Source organism: Homo sapiens, chromosome 2 (assembly GCF_000001405.40).
Source record: "Homo sapiens chromosome 2, GRCh38.p14 Primary Assembly".
Classification (NCBI taxonomy): Eukaryota; Metazoa; Chordata; class Mammalia; order Primates; family Hominidae; genus Homo; species Homo sapiens.
Window position 1 is genome coordinate 106,175,119 of NC_000002.12, and position 20,271 is coordinate 106,195,389.

Genomic DNA, 20,271 nt, shown 5'->3' on the forward strand with positions numbered 1-20,271 from the left:
ATGAATAGCGATTTCCAACCTTCCAGTGCTCAGAGCAGGAACACTTTAATTTAGAGAGACATTCAAAATGGAAATCTTGTACAAACAGAGGGCACCTTGAGCACACTGAAAGTATTATTGGCAGAGAAAGTTCCAGAATGCTGCTGCTGCATGCATTCCAATGCTGGACTGTTTGCTGTTCCTCTCAAGCTTTTCTGAACATGTGAGCTGTATCGAAAAGCTTCATCTAAGTTGAAAAACAGTTTCTCTGCCAAGTGCTTGCAGCAAAGCTACATGGAGCCTTTATACCCAAAGGGATACTCCAAAGTGACACTTTTAAAACCTATCCAAAAATTATCTGGCACACCTTGCATGGGGGGACAGAAGTGTCTCTGTGTCCTTCTTTTAAGTCTGGGGGTCTTGAGCTGCTTGGACCACAGTGAAGAGCAAAAGATACACTATATGATGCCTTTAGATGGTCACAGATGGCCGCCAGTGCTTCTGCCACATTTGCTGAGACACTTGGTCTCAGAGCCCTGAACCACCATGCGTGAAGTCTGACCACGTGAGGCCAGACAGGTTGCCTGTGGGCACTCTAACAGCCAAGCCTGAGTCTGTCCTCAAGGTCCAGACCTGCCAGTGAAGAAGCCCCCTGCAAGTGGATGCTCTAACCTGGGTGTGGTCCCAGGCATCACGAAACAAAGAAGAGCCATCCCCGTCTCAAATTCCTGATCCACCAAGCCCATGGGTATAAATACAACGGTAACTGTTTTCTGCCACTATGTTTTAAAGTGGTTGGTTAAGCAGTGAAACATAACCACAACCAAAACAGTGCCAGACCTGTCACCACCTTTAATCTATTGATGCTCATACGCCCAGGTCACAGCCCTCAAATCAAGCCAAATATAGGGCTAAATCCCTCCTCACCCACAGCTTGCCCTACCAAGTGTATCTGTGCCCTCCTCCAGTCAAAGGCACTGCTTTGCATAGAGACTGGCCCGCCTGGGTAGAAGGCAAGGGCCAAGTCTGAAGTCCTCAGAAAATTCTGATCCCTATCCCCCCACCCCTGGCTGCTCCCCACCTGGCTGCAGTCCTCCCACCTCCCATCTGAAGAAAACAAGTGTACATAGGAAAGATGCATCCTTACTCACCTCTGAAGAACCCCAATCATCCTAGCACTCTGGAAAAGGGCAAATCTTCGACTTTCCTTGGATAAACCCTGAGGTGGCACAACTGAAATGTTTGCTTAAAGCAGATAAGAATATGCATCATTCTTCTAAGAAGAAAAGCATTCAAAGTTTTGCTTAAGCTGACCAGAAGGTTCGAATTAGAAGATACTGCTCTGTGTTTAATTCTCCAAATAAGAAAGGGGGATGTGTCCCTGCGGTGAGGGGGCTTCGCAGTTGCTAGTTCCCACCAAAAGAATGAGGTGCTCAAAGGTCAGGCATCATGATAGACCAAAGAGTGGCAGCTGCTGAACGGGAAGCCGTGCCTACTCCTGAACCTGAAGGAGCCTTAGCCCTAAACCTTGGAGCATGCCCAGACTAGAGAAGCACTCTGCAGCCGCCCTCAGCCTTCCAGGCCTGTGCTCATTCTAAGCGGTTACACAGGATGAAAAGTGGCCCAAATAAAAAGTCAATCTGGGGTGCCTGAGCAGGCTCTAGCAACCGGCATGCTCCAAGCCTAAAGCAAAGGGCGCTTGCTTATCAGACCTCCCTGTGGTCCTCGCCCTGCTCTGAGCCCTCCAGGAAGCCAGAACTCCAATTTGTTGTCTCCAGAAGCAGGCAAAAGAGCAGCTCTCTGCAACCCCAGCTGGCAGGCTCTGAAATCCAGCTATAAAACCCTTGTGATGCACACCTTCCCATAGGCTTACCCAATAAAATCCTACCAATATGCCCAGGGGAAAAAATTTTGCCCCAAGATGTCACCTTTTTTAAAGGGTGGTTAAAAGTATGGGTTTTGTAGATGATATCTGCACCTTTTACAACTTTTTGCACATAAAATGCCAACGTTAAGTAAAAAGGACAACTTAGAGGATAATACATACAGCAGGGTCAATGTTTTTGCTTTTTAAAGCTACATGCATTTTTTTTTTCTTTTTTCTTTTTTTTTTTTTGAGATGGAGTCTTGCTCTGTCACCCAGGCTGGAATGAAGTGGCATGATCTTGGCTCACTGTAACCTTTGCCGCCCGGGTTCAAGCGATTCTCCTGTCTCAGCCTCCTGAGTAGCTAGGATTACAGTTGCGTGCTACCACACCTGGCTAATTTTTGTATTTTTAGTAGAGATGGGGTTTCGCCATGTTGGCCAGGCTGGTCTTGAATTCCAGACCTCAGGTGAACCACCTTTTTCGGCCTCCCAAAGTGATGGGATTATAGGCGTGAGCCACCAAGCCCGGCCTAGCTACATGCATTTTTAAAGCTATTCATGTATTTGTTTATTTTAGAAGTCTGGGGACACCAGGTAATACGACCTTCCTATACTTTTGTATTACTTTAATTTCCGCAAATCACAAGAAGAAACTTTTGAACACCTTTTTTAAGTCTGTACAGGATGCTGCCATGTGAGGACACTGCGAGAAGGCGCCATCTATGAACAGGAATTGGGCCCTCACCAGATACTGAATCTGCTGGGGCCTTCATCTTGGACTTCCCAGCCTCCAGAACTGTGGGAAATAAATTTCTGTTGCTCATAAGCCACCCTGTCTGTGGTATTTTGTTACTGCAGCCTGGGGTAGGACAGCTCCCAAAGCAGAAACTCTGGGGTGTGGTCTGGCCATCTGGCCTTAGCAAGGTTCCAGGTGTTGCTGACGTGACCCAAATCTGAGACCCTCTGCTCTGGGCACCCACCTGTGTTCTCACTTGCTCAGTTCCTCTGAAGACATTCCACATTTTAGTAAGACAAAGAACAGAGTCAAATGCCAGAAGAACTCCTCTGTACAAACCTCTTCCATCGCAGGCGCTACTAAATTCTAGACGCCCCTTCTCCCTCTTCACTGCTCTTCCATTGTGGTTGGCAGATGCTGACAATGTGTTCTTCCATGTGTCCCCCATCTCTGTGCCCGCCGCGTGGGGGCCCTGGCCACTGCATCACCATGCCACCTCCTTCCGGGCCCTTCTGTCTATGCCATCCCCACGTGGCACTTCTCCCGTCTTTACACGGTTTGTCCAAAAAGTCTTTGTCCTTTTCCTGTTCAAGATTTCTGAGTTCTCCAGAACAATCTGGTCACCCGCTTCCAATTATCAGTGTTGAGCATGCACCCCACATATATGTATATGTACCACTATATTATGTTCTTTATAACAACAGAAATAATGTAAAAGGACAAGGCAAAAAGTATGTGTATGTATATATGTATGTGTGTGTATATACATACAAGTGTGTGTATATATATATAAGTATGTGTATGTATACATATACAAGTCTATGTATATGTATGTGTCTGTAAATATATACAAGTGGGTGTGTGTGTGTATATATATATGTGTATATGTACATGTATGTGTGTGTATATATGTGTGTGTGTATATATGTTAGAGTGTGTGTGTGTATATATAGCAGCTCCACAAATCTCTTTTACAACATTCCACATGGAGTAGGGCCCATGGGGCACACCCTGCCCCACCCTAGTGGATGCCTGGCACTGGCCCCCACCCCCAGCCCCCTTTCCCCCGCCCTATGTCTACTCCTCCATCACCTGCGGCAAGCTGGGCAGTGTAGTTCTGAGCACACCCAGTGCCCCCCAGCCTTCCTGAACCACAGAATGCCTTCCAGCTTCTTCTATCACATTCGTACTTCCTGACCAAGAAATAATCAGCGTCTGATCATTAATGGGCCTTTTCTCTAACGGACAGCAGGGCGGTGTTGATAAAGCTTGCTCAGCACCAGGTCCCTGTGGGCTGGACGGGGCACAGCTTGGGAGCAGGGCTTCATGTTACCTTTGCTCTGTGCAGCAAAGCCCTGCATGGTCACTGGTGTCTGGCTCTCTCCTCCTCCTGAGGGTGCCCAGTCTCCCTCTGTGGCTCCATCATGCATCAGGCACAGGTGAGGCACCCTCTCCAAATCAAGGCCAATCCCAAGGCTCCCTGCTCATGTTCCTGGACAGGATGCCCAAAGGATCCTTTGTGATGAAGCCTCCATGGTCTCCCCCACCCCACCCTGAACCCCCGCTCTTGCTCTGACTTCAAACCCTGGCTCTTCCCCTGACCCTCTCCACAAAGGCCCTGCCCTGCACTTCTCCTGCTCTCCGCTCTCTGGCTCTGTCATCTTTCCCAACCCTGTGCGGCCTCACCCCCTCTCAGATGCCCGCCCAGACCCTTTCTTTGTATCACCATGGAGTCTTCCGCCTGCTCCTGTCTCCACCTTCACGATGAGGACAAGGTCCCTGTTTGATTCATTCTCTACTTTACTCTGCAAGTTCAACATTACAGAGGAAATGGAAGATTACAATGAGAACTTTAATATGACTGACCTTCAAATCCCAAGACAGGCTTGAAGGTAAAGCTTTAAAGTTCTAAATATTGCATTCTATCCTTAAGGGGTTTCACTCTTATTCAAGAAGGCTGTAAGAACAACAGTTTGAAGGAACAGGATTTTCCACTAGAAGTCCCCACTCATACAAAGCCTTCTTTTTGTTTACATGAGAAGACACTATGATATAAATCTACCAATGAGTTCTGTGCAACCATAGATTCATGAGGTAGATCTCTGTGTTGAAAGATTTCCTCCACGGCCAGGTGTGGTGGCTCATGCCTGTAATCCCAGCACTTTGGGAGGCTGAGGCAGGCAGATCACAAGGTCAGGAGTTCCAGACCAGCCTGGCCAACATGGTGAAACCCCATCTCTACTAAAAAAAATAACAAAATTAGCCGGGCATGGTGGTGTGCACCTGTAATCCCAGCTACTCCAGAGGCTGAGGCAGGAGAATCACTTGAACCCAGGAGGCAGAGATTGCAGTGAGCCGAGATCACACCACTGCACTCCAGCCTAGGCGACAGAGCGAGACTCCGTCTCAAAAAAGAAAGATTTCCTCCACATATAAAGTAAAAAAGCAAAGCACAGAAAAATCAAGGGCATAAAACCATTTACATTTTAAAAGCACCTAAGACATTCTACAAATGGTACAATGCAAAGGAAACAACCAGTAACCCACGGGAAGGTGAACAGGATTAGCTGGAAGGGAGCGATGCTTTCCATATACTTCCAGACTGTTTGACTGTTAAAATTATGAATTAAAACTAAGCCCCAGAAAGATATGTAAAATATCAATGACCCTTGCATGTCACTATCCAAATTATAAACCACCCTTAACCACCAAGTACCTTCCCAGGTTCTCCACCTCAACTTAGGATTTGGCTGCAAAAATACTACAGAGAGAAAGCTCTGCAATAAGTATTTCAGTAACAATTATGTGACTAATTCTTAGAGCTGGAAATAAGATACACTATCTGCACATCTCCACCTGAGAAAATCAAGTACTTTCTGTCATTGGAAGCAGGACACCAATAAACTTGGAAACACGTTGCACTCACACATTTCACTCGAGGTTCTAGTCCAGCGTCACCATTTAACAAGCACAAAACATCTCTTCATCTGAAATACCAGAGGATACCATCAAATTTGGGGAGAATAGGGAGAAAGAAATAGAAAAATTCCAGACCACTTCTGAACTCCAGAAAGCAAAAATGGACTTTGATCCTGCAAATTACTACAGACAACAAAGAAGTGGACTCTCCTTCCTCCTCTCCTCCCAACTTCGCAAATATCAATGATGCCTGGTGTGGCATGGTAGAAAATGTTACCATGCTATTTCTTTTGCCTTTTTCTACTTAAAGAGATGTAGGCTCCACCTAAGGATATGTGACAATATTTTACCTCAAACGATAACAATGGAAAATGAAATATACTTTCCCTAAGGTTACCAAATGAATGAATCTCCTTAGTTTTCTGATGGAACGAACAGATACATTAAAGAAAAAGAGGGAAACCAAGGGGAGGGAATCCCTCCTAGTTCATGGGGGCATCCCACAGGGTGGGCTGCGGAGAGGTCACTGGAGTTTCATCCCTCCCACACCTGTCACCAGTGAGGCTAAGCATCAGGGCCCTCATCCTTACAGGCACATCCCTCAGCAGCCCTGTACTCTTCTTCCCCGCTGCCAATCACGTCCCTGGCTCAGGGCGGGGCTCTGGAACCTCATCTCTCTCTGAAAACTGCTAACAGGCCCCAGCTCCCGGCACATGCTCCCTTCTCAGCAGGCTCCAGCGAGCACCACCGATTAGGTTTGAGAATAACCGTTAATGAATCTATTTTTAGAATGCCTAAGGCAAAGAAAGCTGGGGCAAGCGGGGCGTGGTGGCTCACACCTGTAATCCCAGCACTTTGGGAGGTCAAGACGGGCAGATCACCTGAGCTCAGGAGTTCGAGACGACCCTGGGCAACATGGTGAAACCCTGTCTCAACTAAAATACAAAAAACTAGCCGGGCATGGTGGCGTGCGCCTGTAGTCTCCTACTCAGGAGACTGAGGCACCAGAATCACTTGAGCTTAGGAGGGCAGGTTGCAGTGAGCCAATCTGGCGCCACTGCACTCCAGCTTGGGCTACAGAGTGAGACTCCATCTCAAAAAAAATAAATAAATTTTTTTAAAAATCCATACTAGTTAAGAAGAAAAAGTAAATTCAGACTTCTCACCACGACTTTTAGGAGGAACTACTATGATCTAAGAAACCTAGGAGTGCTAACGCTGGGATCCAACGTAACATGTAAAGCTCTATTATTTCTTTCTGAAAGTAGGGCACTTTCTAAAAGTTAAGAAGAAGATGGGAACAAAGTATACAACTTAAGGATTAATGCAAAAGGCAAAGGAGAAATTTTTTTAAAAGATGGATTATGACTTCAGGGCTCATTTTATTGCTTACTGTTAAGAAGTTTTGTTAGTAATATATTTGATACTTGATCTTGATGTAGAATGAATGCGAAAGAGAAATTTGATGGAAATACACTTCACAAAAGAAAGAAATTACAAAACTTTGCTGAGGGCCAAAAGAAAGGTCTATCTAAAGTATGGGTGTCCAATCTTTTGGAATCCCTGGGCCACAGTGGAAAAATAATTGTCTTGGGCCACATATAACGCTAACAATAGCTGAAGAGCAAAAAAAGCAAAACAAAACTCATAATGTTTTAAGAAAGTTTATGAATTTGTCCTGGGCCACATGCAGCCCGCGGGCAGTGGCTTGAACAAGTTTGGTAAAGAAAAGCTAGGCGCTATTTCTGGATGGGAAGGCAATTTAATATGCAGAAATTATGAGGTCTGGGATTTTTCTCTTCTTTGCACTTCATTCTCTAGCTTTTCCACATTGAGCACCTTGTTTTCTCATTTCTCCTGTATTTTGTAATTTTCAAATGGGAGCTTAAAAAATTTTAATAATGGTTTTAAGCTAGCCTTTTCATTTTGTGTTCAAAAAGGGCAGAGAGGGAAAGAAGGTGAGAGAGGGATCTAGGAGGACCATCTCCAAACCACAGCACCCACGGGCATGATCCTCAGCCACCACAGCTGTGCCCCAACCCAGAGGGCTGTCAGTGCTCTGGGCTCATTCTCCATGCCTCAGTTTCCCCACCTATGAAATGGAGAGAACATCTCCCCTCTTCACGCCTCACTGCAGGATAGTTGGGTGCTGCTTCTCCTGCCCAAAATGAGGGCTGCATTTCAGCATCTACACTGGTGGGTGGGGGTGGGGTGGGAACGCAGGCAAGGTGAAGCCTAAGGAGGGCAGAGAGCGCTTCCGTTGGGATAGTGGGGTCCTCTCATTGAATTAAGAACCTAGGATAGAAATTCTGTTTTTTAAATAATTAGGATGCACTGGGGTAAGGGAGCAGGGAATCAGAATTAAATTCCACAGAACAGCAAAAGAAACCAAAAGAAAAAAAGAAAAAGATCCTGATTTGGCAATGTATGAGTTTTGCTGAGAAGCCCTGTTTACGAGGATCCATTATTCACAGCTAATGGCCATTTCCACCAGAGCCATCACTAGCCCCTTTGATGAGTGTCAGAATAACTTGGTTCTTTCCCTTGGTTACAACCAAGCCATCCTACACCACCAATGTTCTGTTGCTGATAAAACCCAGCTGCCTGCTCAAGTCTTTTTTAAAAAAAAAAAAAAAAAAAAGCAAGGTCACCCCCAGTATATATGTCAACCAAATTCTAACTTAGAACCAGCAGGCTTTGCTTTCAATTTCTAAAAATACTATAAAAATATTCAAAGATACTAAGAATAACATTCCAAGATCTCACCACCCTAACAAAATTGTTTTCCTTTTCTAGCACATCCAGACTCCCTCTGAAAAAGACTGCTTTGAAGTTCAAACGTTTTCTGCTGTTGCTTTACTTCACTTATTTATTTTGGTTACAGCAACTCTAAAAAGCTTAACCAAAAAGAAACTGATGGATTAACTCCAAATTCACTCTTGGCCCTTCTAAATGCAGGGCGATGAGGAAACCCTCAGCCCCCCTCAGAGGAGAAGTTCCCACTTGCTGGCCGTCACTGCCCTTCCTGCCTGGAAGGAGTCCCTCCATGTTGCAGGTTACTTTACAACACACACCCACACCTTTTTTCCCTTGAAGCTCATCAAGTGAAGTTATCAGCTCTTTAGAGAAATCCCTTCAATTCCTCACAGTATTTAAAACAAATTATTTTTACCTGCAAGGCAAAGGAGTATTTTCATTTTACAAATGGAAAAAAAAAATTGAAACAGAAGGTTAGAAAGCTTGCACCACGTGATAGGGTGAGACCGCTTTATTCAGAAAAGGGATGATCTGGCCAGGCACTGTGGCTCATGCCTCTAATCCCAGCACTTTGGGAGGCCGAGGTGGGTGGATCACCTGAGGTCGGGAGTTCGAGACCAGCCTGGCCAACATGGTAAAACCTCATCTCTACTAAAAATACAAAAATTAGCCGGGCGTGGTGGCGCACGCTTGTGATCCCAGCTACTCAGGAGGCTGAGGCAGGAGAAACGCTGGAACCTGGGAGGCAGAAGTCACAGTGAGGCAAAATCGCACCACTGCATTCCAGCCTGGGCAACAGAGCAAAACTCCATCTCAGAAAAAAATAAAAGTATAAAAAGAAAAAGAAAAGGGCTGACCCTGAATTAATCCTCCCCACATTTACCCTTCAGGTAATTCCTAGGACTTGTCATATTTGTAAGACAAAAAGCAAGACAAGAAATTTGCAGTAGACATTAATGTGGGTTCAGTACACATGAAGAATCTGGTAACTGGCCTCACCTATTCAACATATCTATTTGTGAAAGCTCTCCAACTTCACATCAGACATGTTCTTGACTTCTCAGCTGTCTTAGTCCATGTTCAGGCTGCTATCACAAATATACTACACAGTGGGTGGCTAATAAACAGGAATTTGTTTCTCACAGTTATGAAGGTTGGGAAGTGCAAGATCAAGACACTGGCGGTGAGGGCTCACTTCCTATTCACAGACGGTGCCTTCTTGCTGTATCCTCACATGGTGGAAGGGAGGAATGAACTCCCTTGGGCCTCTGTTACAAAGACACTATCCCATGCATGAGGGCTCTGCCTCCTGACCTAATCACCTCCCAAATACCCCACCTCTTAATGCCATCACTTCAAGGATTAGGTTCCAACATGTGAATTCCAGGGGACACAAACATTCAGATCACAGCACTGGCCTGTACAGAAGTACCATACATATCATATACCAGGACTAGAATCCAGTCACATATCTACAAAAGGTAGGCAGCTCAGGAGACATGCACACCACAAAGCACATTTCAGGCCACACGGGCCAACCCCAAAATGCAAAACTGATTATACTTTGCCCTGCCCTAATGTCTGAACACTTCAGGCATGTTCATCAAAATCTCTCTCATGCTGCACAAATTCTTATGGAGGGCTTACTCATGTCATTAAATCAAGTTTATGTCAGGTCAGACTTCCACATTCTGCCTTTATGGGCCACAAAGACTCCTGCTCCTGGCATTGTGTCACTCCAGCCTCTGCTCATTCCATCACTTTCACCTTCAACTCCACTGCCCAAATTGTATCCTTCTGCTAAATGCCAACTCAATGCCCCAGGTCTTAAGGGCATCCCATTCTCTCCAAGTCCCAGATCTCATTTCTCTCATGGTACTCAGCACTTTACCTTGACTACTTTACCTTGTCCATTTTCTTAGGAACTATGGTGGAAAATGGGAAAATTGTTGAAAATAAAGATGCCCAAGTCTTAAACCCTGTTTCTACCTACAGAACACTTCTGATACCACGTGTGTGTGCTTTTCCCATACTACCAACCAATTCTCCCACTCTCTAGACACCAAGCAAGTGGCCAATGATTCCATTCAATTCTGGCTCCTTGGAGAGAAGGCTGATTCCAGGTTTGGGGTAGAAAAAGAAAATGAGCCTGAAACATCTAGACATTAAGGAAGTGCTCAAAGACTAAAAGAAGCTACGGGTCCACAGTGATTAAAGAAAGATCACCATGAGTTTAACGGTGCCCCCTAAAATATGTCCACATTCCAATTCCTAGAATTTGTGATTGTTATCTTACTTGGAAAAAAGGTCTTTTTAGCTGTAATTAAAGATCTCAAGACAAAAAGATCATCCCGGATTATCCAGTTGGGCTCTAAATCTAGTGACAAATGTTCTTATAAGAAACACCCAGGAGAGATTTAGCAGACAGAAAAGGAGGAGGCCATGTCACCGCAGAGGCTGGAGCAGTGCAGGCAAAAGACAAGAAACCCTGGAGCCACAGAGGAGCATTCCGAGGGAGCTCAGCCCTGCCAACACCTTGGTTTCAGACTTCTGGCCACCAGATTTAGAAATAATAAATATCTCTTGTTTCAAAGGCACCTAATTTGGAGTAATTTGTTACAGCAGCCACGGGAAACTAATACAGTGAGAGAAGAAAAAGGGAGGGAAAGTTCTTTTCAAAACACCACCAGTTAATAACTATCAAAAGATTTACAAAATTAGAAAATCACTAACTGCAATCCCCAACAGAAAAATCGGTCCAGGCAAGGATCGTCAATGGACATGAAATGCACTGGCTGGAGAACAAGATATTCGCACAGGTGGCAAGAATCACTCCACAGATTGCATACTGCAAAAATGTACCTTCAAAATGAAGCAGCATAGAGGCCATTCCTTCCAGGGGTCACACTGAACAGTGTCAAGTGGGACCAGCCCAGACACTACATGTTCCCAACGACACCAATTAGCAAGCATTGTTATAAAAATGTTTAACTGAACTTAATCATAAGGAAACAATCAGACAAATCCAGAATGTGGGACATTTATAGGAAAACTGCTCTGGGCTTTTATATATATATATATACACACACACACACACACATATACATGAATATACGTAAATATGTATATACACACACACACATATATAGGTAAATGTTATGAGAAACAATCAAACAAACAAAAAAAAATCAGGCTACTATGGCTCCAGAAATTTAGAGGCATAAAACCAAATGCAACATGTAAATCTTGACTGGGTCCTAGATTTTAAACTAAACAAAAAAAAATTTTTTAATTAGCTGGCTGTGGTGGCACACACCTGTAGTCCCAGCTACTCAGGAGCCTGAGGCAGGAGGATCACCTGAGTCCAGGATTTTGAGGCTGCAGTGAACTAAGATCATGCCACTGCATTCCAGCATGGACAACAGATTGAAACCCTGTCTCAAAAAAACAGAAGCAAAAAAAAAATCTCAGAAAGGCTATCACAGTCATTTATGGTACAATGGGGGGAAATTTAAATATAGACTATATCTTAGATATTATTTTGTTAATTTTTAGGGAGTGATAATGGTAATGAGATTATATAGAAGAATACCTTTATTCTTAGGAGATATATGTAAAGTACTTGAAGGTGAAGTACTGTTACGTCTGCACCTTTCAAATATTTCAACAAAAAAAGTATATATAAAATATATACAAAAAAAGTAAGAAAAAGAAAAATGTGGAAAAAAATGTAGGCATCTGGTGAATCTGGGCAGAGAGTATTTGGGTGTTCACTAAAATATTCTTTTAGTAGAAAAGATAGAAAATCTGAAAGGAAATTTTGAAAATGTTGAAAATTCACAATTTCCAGCTTGTGCCTCCAACCCTCAGGCTCCTACAGGCCTAGGAGGATCCTAGGAACCTGCATTTGACAAGCCCAAGCTGATCTCACGCTCGGGTCAGCCTGGGAATGCCACCGGTACTAGGTTGTTGGATTTTAGCTGTCTGCTGTCCCCCAGGGTCCTCTGGCGTCACAGTGATATCTAACTTGCTGCACATCCTCCAAGGCAGAGGCTAACAATTGTGTCCCGAATGAATTTATGAGGGCAATTGCCGATCATGTGGGAGCTGATTATATTAAGGGCAAAACTGTACCGTAACCAAAGTCCCAACCTCAGGGAAGTTTGAAGTCTATTACCATAAACACAAAACTAAGACACATAAAACACTCTTTCATATGGTTTTCAGGTTTTATCTCTTTTCTTGTTAAGTAACACTGACAGGAAAGAAAGGTACCACAACTAAAATGTCACTACAACAAAATCCACAATACACCAAAAATTACATAAATGTTACTAGATGTCACAATGTCACAACTGTAATTTCCTTTTTTTTTTTTTTTTGAGATGGAGTTTCGCTTTTGTTGCCCAGGCTGGAGTGCAATGGCACGATCTTGGCCCACTGCAATTTCCGCCTCCGGGTTCACGAGATTCTCCTGCCTCAGCCTCCTGAGTTGCTGGGATTACAGGCGCCCGCCACCATGCCCAGCTAATTTTTTGTATTTTTACTAGAGACGGGGTTTCACCATGTTGGCCAGGCTGGTCTCAAACTCCCGATCTCAGGTGATCCACCTGCCTTGGCCTCCCAAAATGCTGGGATTACAGGCATGAGCCACCGCGACCAGCCTTAACTCTAACTTTCAAAGGCTAAAGGTGAAAAGATAATGGCTCCTAAACCCGACTAAAACATCAGAAAATGTCTTTTGTCTTTGATTTCTTTTCTTTTTTTGAATATAGGCAATCTATTTTCCTCCCTGCCCCTCTCTCCATATCCCTCCTCCCTGACTTCTTTTTTGTTCTTGTTTAAGGAATCAATCCACGTGGACAGGGAGAAGGGGAAGGGAGAACAGGCACCAAAATGCTACTGGATAGGAAAAAGAAGATAGGTGAATATGGGGACATGGAGAGGGCACGGACGTGGGCGGGCAGTGGAATGGCCCATTTATACTTAGGGTCAAGAACTGGGCCAGGCCTGGAGCATCTGCAATGGGTGTGGAGGCAGCAGAGACAGGAAGTCTGATTTTCAAAGACATCTAAGAAGCAGGACAAGTTCCAGCTCCTGTCCCACCCTGGCAGAAGACAGGTGGCTCCATCTCTGGAGAGGGTGGAATCAGGGTCTCTGACAGAGGAGCCCAGATCCCCCTGGGACAATCAGGTTACTGATTAGGCTACAGCCCTCGCTCACTGGGCTCCAGGATGCAGGCAGCCAAGCCTCCCCTTCCTGCAGGGACCAGGGAGAGTCTTGTGACAATAGCCCGGGAGGACCAACCCGCAGCACTAAGGTCAGAAGGCCCCAACAAGGAAAGGTTCAGCTCACAGAAGGCAGTGCCCATCCCTACAGAGTCCCCCACTCTTAAACATGGGCAGGCCATCTGAGGAGAGCCTCACACAGAAACGGGAAGGCAGCCTAGAGGAAAGAGATCCTTCAGTAAAGAGAAAAGAAAACAAATTTTTTAAAAATCCAGAGAATATACCATGAAATGAAGACCATGTTTTAGTTTTTTAAAAAAGTTCACAGAACAAAAAAGAACTCTTATACATGAAAAAGTATGGCAAAAATAAAATGTAAAAAAATCACTAGAAGAGTCTAAATACAAAAATGAGGAGACGTCCCAAAAGTGCAACAACCTTAAAATGGTAGAAAATAGGAAATAAGAGGATTGGTCCAGCAATCCTATATCAGAATAGTAGTAGTCCCAGAAAGAGATGAAATAGAAAATGGGAGGGGAGAAAATCACCAAAGAATAATTCAAGAAAATTCCCATAACTGAAGAATAAGTGTTTCTGGATTGCCAGGGCACAAAAAATGCCCAACATGCTGGATAAAATACACCAAGGCCTAGCACTGTGGATCTTGGAACACCACGGATGTATCAGTCAGGGCAGGCATTGTTAAACTACAGCAATGAGCAGCCCAAAAGCCCTCAGAGGCCTACAACAACCAAGATTTATTCTTCAAGTTTATTTCAATCGAACAGGGTCATAGCATGGGTGGGAGGGGGTTCTGCAAGCTGAGTATCATCATTGTCAAGCTGAGTTCAGAACCTAACTAGAGGGAAGGAAAACTCTGGCAGCAACTTACACTCGCAGCGAAGTGCAGGCCCAGAAGTGGAAGTAGCACTTCCGCTCAGCTCCTGGGCAGGCCACTGGCACAACAACCATGTGAGGCCATCAAGCTCAGGGAGTGAGGAAGGGAGGGCAATCCTACCAAGAGCCTGGGGGACAGGGGGCTGGACATGTGTGGCGAGCACTGACAACTAGACCCGAAAGGAAGATGCTACAATCTTCAGAAAGAGAAGGACTGGCTTGAAATTCTTCAACAATACTGGAGGCCAAAAAGGATTGGACCAATGCTTCAAAAATTCTAAAGGAACTTTTTTTCTATAATTCTACACTATCAATCTATCAGACATGAAGGCAGAAAATATACTTATGGGTAAAGTCTCAGAATTCACTTCCCATCACATCCAAACCAGGGAGTGAAACAAGAGGGAGTCAGGAAGAGGAAGTCAGGAAACAGAAGTCCTGCAGTGGGTAGGTCCAGGCTGATGTGGGTGCAGGTGGTGAGGCTGGCAGCTGACCCTCAGATGTATCCACAAGTTGCAGTAGAAGGCCCCGGGGCCCTTCTTCAGGAAGGGGTGCTGACCAAGGGGCATCCTGATGCTCATGAACATCATGGGGGAAGACGCGACAGACAACTGGCAAAGAGTTTGGAGTTGGATCTGTCATACTACATAGAAAGCAAGCAAATTAGAACACCAGCCAATTATTCGCTGGAGAAAACAAAAAGTAACCTACAACATGACTCACTAGGAACAGCATTTACATAGTCATGCTTGTAAACACTGCATGATGAGCTCCGTGAGATTATACCACATCTATATAGGAGGGTGGAGAGCATGTACAGGGGCAAAGAGAAGAAAAAAATCATCTCCCAAAGAACAAAGTCACTAGGTAATATCTACAACTGAAAAATCAGGAAGCCAGGTGATTCAATGGCACAATGATAAATACCAAAATAATCAACTAAAAGAAGTGAAATGCCTAGGGGTTGGGTGCGGTGGCTCACGCCTGCAATCCTAGCACTTTGGGAGGCTGAGGTAGGCAGATCACCTGAGGTCAGGAGTTTGAGACCAGCCTGACCAACATGGAGAAACCGTCTCTACTAAAAATACAAAATTAGCCGGGCGTGGTGGCGCATGCCTGTAATCCCAGCTACTCAGGAGGCTGAGGCAGGAGAATCGCTTGAACCCAAGAGGCCAAGGTTGCAGTGAGCCGAAATCACGCCACTGCACTCCAGCCTGGGCAACAAAAGCGAAACTCTGTATCAAAAAAAAAAAAAAAAGAAATGAAGTGCCTGCTTCTGGGGAGAGGGAAATGGTGGCAGGGGATACTGTTTGGCCCTGCAGAAGCTATTTAACTTTTTACACTATATGCATGTTAAAAAAAAATACGTTAAAGGTAATTCAAGCAGTCTGCCCAGGAGCTACCTAGTAGGTTGGCCTGATTTTTGATTCAGCACAAAGGGCAGAAACTGAGTTCTTTCAATGAGCCATTAGCACTGCTATAAATGTTTCAAGGGCTGAAACACATAAGACACAATCCCTGTCCTCAGAATCGGGATTTCATTGAGAAAAAAAAGCCAACATATGAATGGGAAAGAACTCAAGTACAATGCAAGTTAGCAGGTGGTCAACCCTAAGACATGAAGAAGAGTTATGTGGTATCAAGGAGGAGACTCAGGGCCAGAGTAGGTAACAAAGACTTTGGGAAAGATGTAAGGAGGAGAAGGAGAAAGGCTAACAGAACTTGAGTTCTGTTCCCGAAACAGGGAGGGCATTTCTGCAACGGAGGCTGGCTAACAGTGAGGGTGTATATAATTGGGAAGTATGGACAGTTTTTTCAAACAGTGGTGAGATTTTACTTGTAACAGGGAGGGCAAGATTACTAATTAGGAAAAGCAGAGATTAGAAAACACAGACATCACGGTTGAGGGACTACATTTTCAGTGTCCTTCGGTGTTATCAATCACAAGCCCTGTAACATTTTTCCCTGCAGAGTGGCTCAGACTTAGCATACCTGCTCCTTATTAACACTGCCTCCACCCTGTGTTAAACCCCTCATAGCTAAAATCAACCATGTCGTGGGCTGCACCCCAGGCCTGCCTGCCTGCTTGCCTGCTCTGGCCCCTGTCTGCCTGGGCAGCCTCATGGCTGTAATTTTGTTTTCACACTCCAACAATACCATCCTTCTTTGCATTCCTAGAATACTGCCTGCTCTTGGCTGCCGCAGGACCTCTGCACACACTGCTCCTCCTAGAACACGCTCTCTCCTATGACTTCCCTGTTAACTCCTACATAAGCCGTCCATTCTCAGCTCACTTTTGATTCCTCAACAAAACAAACGTACCTGATTGCTCTCACTCAGGAGTTCCTGGCATAGTTCTCATGCATTCCTTTTCCTCACACCAGTTTGTAATTTAACCTTCATTTCCAATTCATGCCCACCTCACCATCTTGGCCAGTGGGTCTCAAAGTGGTGTCAGGTCACAGCAACAGCATACAGAACAACCTATTAGTGATGCAGATTCTCAGGCCACATCCCAGACCAACTGAATCAGAAACTTGAGGTGGGAGACAAGCAGTCTGTGTTTTTTAAAAAAAACCCTACTGATTCTGATGCATGCTTAAGTCTGAGAATCAACGTGCTACACTATGTGGTATAGGGTCTGTACCATCACAGCACAGACCAGTTAAGTTTTAGCACCCCATGGTGTCTCCTAGTGCCAAATTCAGGGACAACAGTAAGGACTTGGTAAGATTTCCTGGTCAGATGAATGATTGGTTAAAAAACTTTCCTGCTGGGAGCGGTGGCTTACGCCTGTAATCCCAGCACTTTGGGAGGCCGAGGCAGGCGGATCACGAGGTCAGGAGATCGAGACCATCCTGGCTAACATGGTGAAACCCCGTCTCTACTAAAAATACAAAAAATTAGCCGGGCGTGGTGGCGGGTGCCTGTAGTCCCAGTTACTTGGGAGGCTGAGGCAGGAGAATGGCGTGAACCCGGGAGGTGGAGCGTGCAGTGAGCCGAGATCGCGCCCCTGCACTCCAGCCTGGGCTGAACAGAGCGAGACTCCGTCTCAAAAAAAAAAAAAAAACTTCCCATGGCTCCATAAATCCCCTACTTTATTAATTCTAAACCCTTGCAGCGACTATAGAATACCCCCAAAATAAACATTGAAACTGCTGTTCGAAGACCTGGGTTCTAGCTCCTGCTCCCAGGCCTTTCTGGGTTCAAATTTTGGCCCTCCTTCTCTTACTATCTGTGTGATCATCCATAAATTTCCTAATCTCTCTTGGCCTTAACTTCCTCACCTCTAAAATAGGAATCATTATAGTACCGATTTCCCAGGGTTGCTCAATGATTGAGACAATGGCACTAAGAATCATGACTCACACAGTTAAGCACTCAACAAATGTAGGTAGTATTACTGCCATAATAATAGTTATTCAACTTTAAATGGTCTTTCCTCTTGGGTCTCAGCTTTCTTACTCAAGATTGACCACACACACACTTTAGACTAGTTCTTCCTCCCTTGCAAAACTACACACATCTAACACCCATCCGACGCCTGAAACCTCCCCTAGCAACCCGGAGTCCTGCTGGGGTTTTCCAGCTCCACCTCCTGAACAGCTGGGCTGTAGCACACAGGCTGGATCTACTCATACTTGCCTTCCTAGAGCTCAACTGAAGTCACTTCAGACAAGTGAAGTACCCACTCACCTCTGGAATCAGATCTTGGTAACGCCAACAGGTTAGCAGGTGATTTCATTTCAGTGTGTGTCTGGGTGGCTAGCATTCAAACGCAGCTCACACTGGGAGCTATTTCTAGTCCAATTTTGCTACTTGGTAACGTATTAATAGCATCAATTAAAACATTCCCAACGAATAGATCTTTAAAAGGACGGTTTCTGACTTCCCTAACAAGCAGAGGGCCGACCACCTGCCTGCGAAGTGCCCCTCCTGCCCTGTCTCCAGGCAGCATGCTGTGAGCGATGACAGAAACTGGACCCGCGCACAGAGAAGCTGCAGGCACGCCCTGCCCGGCCACCCAGCTGCCTGCCTGCTTCGCCCGGCCGCCGAGCCCCGGGGGAAAACCTAGAATGGGGATGCCGGTGCGCCCCGACACCTGGGCACGGCCGCGGGCCGGGGAGCCGCCCACACTTGGCTCCCCAAGAGTTAAACGCTGAGTAATTTTCCTGAGGAGCAAACAGTCGGAGCGGGGGCTCTGCCAATGGCCACAGTATTTTTATCCGACTTAACCGACACCGCGGCGCGACCTCGGCTGTCCCCAAGGGTATCCCCACGCGGCACGCTCCGGAGTCCCCGACCGGGACCCTCGCCGGCTCCCAGCGCGACATGGACGACAGCGCCGCCGCCGAGTCCCCCGCGCCCGGGCAGGAGGCAGAGACCTGGGGCCGCCCGAGGACTGCTAGGGGCCCCTCCGCCCGGGGTCCGCGCCCGGGCCTAAGCGGTAGGGGGTGTGCGCCCAAGTTGGCCCGCTTTGCTGCAAGAGTGGAAAGGGGTGGGAGCAGAAAGCGCCGGCCCCGCCCGGGGCGGGGAGCAACGCGGGGCTGCAGGGCCGCCTCGGGGCCCCGAACCACCGCCGCCCGGCCCACCGCGGCGCCGGGGAATGAATGGGGCTCCCCAGCTGGCAGCGGGCGCGCACTCACAGGCGACGTAGGCCAGCAAGGCGATGCCCAGCAGCAGCTTCATCCTCCTGCGGTTGACGGCAGACACGAGGCGCAGCAGCGCCTTGCTCACCATCCCCGGGAGCCGCGCGGGTCCAGGGCCCTACCGCGCGGGGGCCCGCCTGCTGCACAATGCGCGGCGGCGGCGGCGGCAGCGGCCCCGAGAGCCCCGCCTCCTGCCGCCGCGCGCCCCCGCCCCCGCGCGCCTGCTTCCTGCTGGCGGGATCACCGCGCAGGCGCGCCTCCACCCCCTTCCTCCGGCTCCGCCCCCGCCCCTCCGGCTTCTCTACCCGCAGGCGCAGTTGCCGCCTTTCTTGCCTTGGTTTTCGAAGAATGTGACCTGGAGGGCTGGTGGGCGGTGCGGCGCGCCGCGGCGCATGCGCGTTCCGGTCTGTTTTCCCTGAGTTAAAGCGCGCGGGTGCCAGCCGGGAGGTGCGGCTGGATTCGTTTCGCTGAGGTGCGTCCCCAACCCAAGGGCACGACTGCAGTGGCCAGTTTCCGAGCCCCGCCCGGAGGGGGGCACGCGGTGGGCATTCCGGTGTTGCAGTGAAACGAAACTTATTTGCTAAACTTGGCCGAGCCTTAGAAGTTGAATGCCTGCCTCAGAAAGTTGCCTCGTTCTCTGGGCTGTTTAGTTGGCTTTTTTTAGTTAGAATATCGGCAGCGAAAATGATAAATCCCCTAAACCTTGCCGAAGTAAAAACTGGCTGCGTTTTTTTTCCTTGGCTATGATCAACTGGGGTGCCTTTGTTTTAATAATAGTCTTTTATTATTATTTTAAAAAGCAGTGCTAAGTATATTAATTTAGGATAGACTTGGAAAAGAAAAGATGAAATTGCGCTGTCTCTGCCTAGAGAAAAACCCTGACCATGTTGTCGTGTGTGTTTCATTCAATCTTTTTGTTGAGTATATCTGTTTTATGAGTGCTGTACTGATTGCATAGGAGGTACCTGTGTTTAAAAAGCATTTACTGAATGATGATTACAAGCAAGGAGATGTATCAGAAGATCCACAGATAATCGGAAGCTTGTCATTGGATCTGGAGAGAGCTGGTCCCATGGAGGAAAAAAAGACAGGTACACACAGATGTGTGTGATGCCACATTAAGAGAGATCCCGGATTTGGGATCTGCAGGCTTCAAGAGGTCATCTTCAGCTATACGGAGAAGTTGAAGTCAGCAGCGGCTCTCCTACCTCTTGGAACCTCAGGCCATTTTGCAAAACT

At 46.5% G+C, this 20,271-nt stretch overlaps 1 protein-coding gene across 11 annotated transcripts in view, besides 3 other annotated features; it reads right to left on the reverse strand.

Annotated features, from left to right (window-relative positions):
• Positions 1 to 19,183, reverse strand: part of UXS1 (UDP-glucuronate decarboxylase 1) — a 100,991-nt gene extending 81,808 nt beyond the window's left edge. For 8 of the 11 annotated variants that reach the window (NR_045607.2, NR_165308.1, NM_001377505.1 and 5 more), the window contains exon 1: positions 19,030 to 19,183. Coding sequence is in view for 9 of the 11 variants with exons in the window: in NM_001377505.1 (NP_001364434.1) it covers positions 19,030 to 19,123 (94 nt within the window). In the remaining 2 variants the exon portion in view is untranslated. Of the gene's footprint in view, positions 1 to 18,079 lie in introns of all 11 variants that reach the window. The other 3 variants (XM_011511903.3, XM_011511902.3, XM_047445918.1) reach the window with 2 other exon arrangements.
• Positions 484 to 593: a silencer, noted in NCBI's record as "silent region_11845". NCBI's record gives its function as "represses an Ori minimal core promoter by ATAC-STARR-seq in GM12878 lymphoblastoid cells {active_cell/tissue: GM12878}" and the evidence as "EXISTENCE:reporter gene assay evidence [ECO:0000049][PMID:35858748]".
• Positions 18,276 to 18,325: an enhancer, noted in NCBI's record as "active region_16339". NCBI's record gives its function as "activates an Ori minimal core promoter by ATAC-STARR-seq in GM12878 lymphoblastoid cells {active_cell/tissue: GM12878}" and the evidence as "EXISTENCE:reporter gene assay evidence [ECO:0000049][PMID:35858748]".
• Positions 18,656 to 19,265: a silencer, noted in NCBI's record as "silent region_11846". NCBI's record gives its function as "represses an Ori minimal core promoter by ATAC-STARR-seq in GM12878 lymphoblastoid cells {active_cell/tissue: GM12878}" and the evidence as "EXISTENCE:reporter gene assay evidence [ECO:0000049][PMID:35858748]".